Source organism: Homo sapiens, chromosome 11 (genome assembly GCF_000001405.40).
Source record: "Homo sapiens chromosome 11, GRCh38.p14 Primary Assembly".
NCBI lineage: Eukaryota > Metazoa > Chordata > Mammalia > Primates > Hominidae > Homo > Homo sapiens.
Window position 1 is genome coordinate 125,057,605 of NC_000011.10, and position 5,700 is coordinate 125,063,304.

Here is a 5,700-nt window from a genome sequence, read left to right on the forward strand (position 1 = left end):
TTAACATCCCTGGTTCGGGGAGGCAGGGCAGGGCACCTCATTACTGCTTGAAAGGGTGGGAGTTCTGGCTCTCCACTAGGCCTCCATTGATATCGCCCTGTATGGGCTCCTTACTGCTCCCCATGTGACCTCCATGACACCTTGGTGGTTGGGGTGGGGCGCTCTTTACCATTGGAAGGTGGTGAAAGTCCTGCTTTCCCACTTGGAGTTCTCTGACACCAGCCAGGCGGTGGGCGGGGGGGCACCCCTCATTACAGCCAGGTGCAAGTGGAAGTCTAGGTTCCCCACTGGCCTTTGCTGATAAGGTGGGGTGGGGCTGCAGTGTTTTCTATGAGGTTTAGTTGGAGCAGGGTGGTTATTGCCACGCTACCCCTTCCTTGGTCCTGTGGCTAGACAGAGCCAGCATTTCTGAGAGCTTTGGTGTTCTGTCTGTGTCATTGGTGCTTCTGGATTTGCTGGCTTCTTCAGCACCCAGTCCGGGATATATGAAGCCAAGAGCAAACCCAGATAACTCACCACTGTCTTTCCTTAGATCTCAAGGTCCCTCGCTGATCTGTCTTCTCTCCACTTTTCAGAGTTTTCTTATGCTTGCTTTATATATAATGTCAATGGTTTTTAACGGTACCTAGCAAGAAGAATAGAGAGAAGTGTATCTCTTCTATCTTCATCCAGAACTGGAAGTCTGACAAAGCCCTGTTAAATGGCCATTTCTCCTCTGAAAACATAAATCTGATCCTGTCTTCACCCTTAAAGCTGTCTTATAGCACCCAACTGTCTAAAGAATACAGTTCCAACCTGTTATTGTTGACATTGAAGGTTCTTCACTATCTCACCACATGTAATAAGTCATATCTTCTGCAGCTCCCCACCTTGCACATGTACTCACCAGCTACAAAGAATGTCTTATGCACCATTTCTTCAATGTACCATGCTTTTTCATGGTTCCTTATTTTGCACATGCAATTTTCCGGTTCCACCTTTCTCCTCTTCACTTGGTATGCACTAAGCTGTTCTTCAAATCTAGTTCTTATGTTGTCTACAGTAAGCCTTCTGAGACTCTCCTGGAGTTATTTGATCAGTGCCACCATATCAGCATGAACATTTTCTTGTTTATATAACCTATTTCTTGTTTGAGTTGATCTCTTCTGCCAAGCTTTTGAAGTGGGATTATCTCTATACATCTCTGTCCCCTTTGACTGTAAATTCTTTGGGATTAGGGACTGTGTCTGTCTGTTTTTTTTTTTTTTTTTTTTTTTTGAGACGGAGTCTTGCTCTGTCGCCCAGGCTGGAGTGCAGTGGCGCGATCTTGGCTCACTGCAAGCTCCACCCTCTGGGTTCACGCCATTCTCCTGCCTCAGCCTCCCGAGTAGCTGGGACTACAGTCACCCGCCACCACACCTTGCTAATTTTTTTTTTATACTTTTTTTTTTAGTAGAGATGGGGTTTCACCGTGTTAGCCAGGATGGTCTCGATCGACCTGGTGATCTGCCCACCTTAGCCTCCCAAAGTGCTGGGATTACAGGTGTGAGCCACCGTGCCTGGCCTGTCTTTTTCATTAATGTATCCTCAGCACATAGCACTGTGCTTGGCACATAGTTGTCACTTAACAAATGTTTGTTTGTTTGTTTATTTATTTATTGAGACGGAGTCTTGCTGTGTCTCCCAGGCTGGAGTGCAGTGGCACGATCTCGGCTCACTGAAACCTCTGCCTCCTGGGTTCAAGCGATTCTGCTGCCTCAGCCTCCTGAGTAGCTGGGATTACAGGCGTGTGCCAGCATGTCTGGCTAATTTTTGTATTTTTAGAAGAGGAGGGTTTCATCTTGTTGGCCATGCTGGTTTTGAACTCCTGACCTCAGGTGATCCTCCCGCCTTGGCCTCCCAAAGTGCTGGGATTACAGGCAACAAATATTTATTAAGCAAGTAAATGAATGGTTACTTTCAGATACTAGAACAACTAAACATTGTCCCCAGCTGTGTGACCAGGCTGAGACTACCTCACTTTTGTCATTACCATATATTCCTTTTAATTTTTCCTCTAAACAAGGTGACTTTGGGAAATTTTCATAATTTAACCATTTCTTCATCCTTCTCCTCTCTTCCTAAGGACTACTGGCTGTCAGGCTGTCTTTGTATATACCTGTTGTCACTACTGGTATCCTAAGGAGGTTGACCATTTGAAAGCAGGGCTGCCCTGTTGGTTGACTGATAGGTCTCCAAAGCCCACTCTTCAGGCCATTATGAACCATCAATCTAGTCTTCAGTACATTGAAACCCTACTTTTGGCCAGTTATATAAGGGCTGGGATGTTCTTTGCTAAGCATTCCAGAAGTTTGACTTCTATTGAGAAATAAGATATTTTTGAATACCTTTGGTCACCTTGCTTATCTATCTTTTGACTGTTAGCTGGGAAGAATTTAGTAGTAATTCTTAGTGAGATTTCAGCATCCAACATATTTAAGACAATAACTTCTTTCATTTTTATGACACTCTACTCAAGCCATACATACATCCTTGTGAACCCCAAATTATTCAGCACGTATTACCACAAAGCTTACAATAACTCAGTGGGTTAAGTTGTATATATATACACACATACACAGATACACACACAAGCACATTATATTAAGGATTTTGCAGTCAAAAATATATTTTGTTATACCCATTGATCCTTTTTAAGAATTTTGATCCTTTAACCCCTATATTTTGTTCTCATTTATGACAGTCATTGGTTTCTGTCAGCTGCAGTCAATATCTGACCCTAATACCATATATATTAGCTCCTGCACACATAATTGCTCCATTTGCAAAACCTATTTAATATGGCCAGGCACTGTTGTACTTTTTGTATGCACATATGTTTTGATTCTTACAGCACTCTGTAAGGTGGGTGCTGTTACACACATTTTACAGAGGAGGGAACTGAGGCTTAGTGAAGTAGTAAGTATCTTGACCAGGCTTGGTTCTGACTCCAAGCCAATGTTCTTTTTACTGCACCACTCCGCCTCTCCATCAAAAGGCCTACTATGAAATTGAATATTTAAAAGATTGAATAATTACAATTTATCCTAATATCCCAGTTCTTACCCCCTTGATCAAGACTGGTCTTGATTGTATTACCAAAAAATATGCTTTTCTCTGTTTAGTAAGACAGGAGTGGAAGGAGGCAAATGTGTTCAAAAAATGATGCTTGTGGATGTGTTAAAATTTTGGAGTTCTGTTACCTAGTGGCTTATTCTCATGTCATTTGTCCTCAAAGACTTTCTTAAGCATTCAGATCCTTCTGTCCCTTTGAAGAAAACAGGGAAGACACTTGTTATCGTGTCTTAAAGGGCATAAAACACCAACTGGCTACCCCAACAGTCCTGTGGGTGGTCATGGAACTTACTAGCAGTAGGGACTGGTATTTGATGGGTAAAATGGCTTCTTTCTCACAAGTGTCTCATACTGAACCATAGGAAGCATTTTTGACAGAGTATAAGGCTATCCATATAAGAACTGAGGATCTTTTCCTTTAGCATTTGATTGAGTAGCTCCTTCCCTCCCTCTTTATTTCCTTCAGATCCTCTCCACATTCTGCAGGGTTTGAGGAGGTAGTGTGTGGGAGGGGGGCCAGATAATAACAAGAAGGTGAGTCGAGAGTGGTGAGGTTGTGTAGGTGAGTGAAGGGACTCCCTGAGGCACAATATCCCTCTTTGTCACTCCCCCAAGCAGCAGGAAGCACAGAGATCATCCAGCTCACCAACAGGAGCGAGCAAGAAAGAGTTCCAACATTGGTGGGAGTGTTCCCACTGCCACCCTGGCCCCTGAACAGGGATACGTGGCTGGAATTCACAGGAAGTAACTGTGACAAGGCAAAGTCTGTTTCAGTACCGGCCCTGCTCCCAGCTACTTGGTGCACTGTGAACAATAGCCGTACTACCATGAGGGCATATTCCTAATGCCTTTCTTAGAGTCCCAGCCTCAGATAGGCATGGTCCCCTGTGAGGCAGGAACACAGCTTCCTGACAAATGAGCAGGAGTGACCCTTATTCTTGGCTTCTGTCTGAAATGGAAAGACAGATGTTCCACACTGCTGAAGTCTGGACAGCACCTCTGAAGCCCTGGAGATGGTCTCTTCCATTCCTCTGGTGATGTCCACCTACTCCTCAAATGTAGCATCAAGGAACTTCAGCTGCTTCCTTGGCTCAACTGGATTCCAATTTTATCCTTCCCTTTAGTCCCTCAGAAATAAGCAGCGTAGGAATAATTCCCTTCCTGGGGATATCAGCTCATTCCTCTAGTTTATTTGCTGCCCCTTAAAGGAGTACCTTAACCTGGGGTACCTGTGATTATTGACCCTAGAATGGGTCCATCATAGATTCTGGGACAGCAGGTGTCTCCTGGGATTGTCCCAGGCAAACCAGGACATAAAGTCACCTTACCTAGGTGGGTAATAGCCACCTAACTGACTTGTAAGAGTGAAATGAATATACCCCCAAGTACAGTGAGTGGTCTAATCAGGGGTTTGATTTAGTGAATTGCCGCTAATGACACTGGTCCTTTGGTGTTTCAAGCCTCTGCACCCTATTTGGGCCTCCCTTCTACTTATGCCTTTCTTCTTTTCTCTATTCCTTTACCTTTTGTCGTTGGCGTGTTACCGTCTTCATTTCTGCCACTAGACCTATGCCCCCTGACTGCCTGGGATTAACAGAGGCTTTTACAACTCTGCTTACCCTCTTTTTCTTGATTCTAGGGCTGGTACGAGCCAAGCCCATTATTCTAGGTCCTAATCTGTTTGGTGGAGTTGTTACTCCACTTCTCTGACCTTGCGCGTAGGGCCTGGGCACTCCTAGGAATTAGGGGCAGGGTGGGGTTAGGGCTGAAACCCATTTGCTCCGACACTCCTGTTTTATGTTCTATTAACTTTATTCCTCAGGGGAATACTTCCCTTTGCAGCCTTCTGTATTTCACCCTTGGGTTCATGTACAAGGATCTCACAATTATCAGTGGAAACATACCCTGAAATCTTCAGGCTAGAGGCAGTCACTTTCAGGACCACAGAAGTCCCTGCCTGGTGGCTGCTTGCCTCCAGAAAGGAGAGCAGGAGTGACTGCCACATTGTCATGGCGGGAGCGCGTGGGGGCCGGTGTCTGTGAAGCCGGGGAAGAGTGGGGTCCTGTGGAATATGAGCAGGGCAGGAAGCCCCAGCCTGAGCCTGTGGTGTGTTTGGGGCCGAATATTGTCCCCCCCCCGCCCCCGCCCACGAAAAAAACTCCTGCGCTCCCAGAAGGTGAGAGTACCGAGATTAGTCATGCAGGGCCGCTGAGTGTGACTTCCAGCCCTCCAGCGTCTCGTGTCCCGCCCGTGTCGGAGCCCATGGCTTTTTAGGACAGGAAGCGCTGCGGGGTAGTGCGGGCAGGCAGGCACGTCACACCGGACAGCGTCGAGATTGCTGCTTTCGGTTCCCCAGCGGGTGGTGAGGCAGAAAGTGCAGGGCGGAATGAGGAGCCCCAGCACCTCAGAGCTGTCGGGCAGTGGCGGGGAAGCAAAGCACAGGAGCGCTGTGGTGCCAGCGGCCGGGCTAGGGACGACTGGCGGGTTTGCGCTGGACCCGACCCCGAGGGCGGGCGCAAGGGGGCGGGCGCTGCCGTACTCAGGCCGCGGGGCCAGGGCGGGCCGGCCGGCGGGGCATTTAAACCCCGCTGACAGCCAGTCCAGCCC

General features: G+C 47.1%; 1 annotated feature.

The window, feature by feature from the left end:
* Positions 5,510 to 5,699: a silencer, noted in NCBI's record as "silent region_4036". NCBI's record gives its function as "represses an Ori minimal core promoter by ATAC-STARR-seq in GM12878 lymphoblastoid cells {active_cell/tissue: GM12878}" and the evidence as "EXISTENCE:reporter gene assay evidence [ECO:0000049][PMID:35858748]".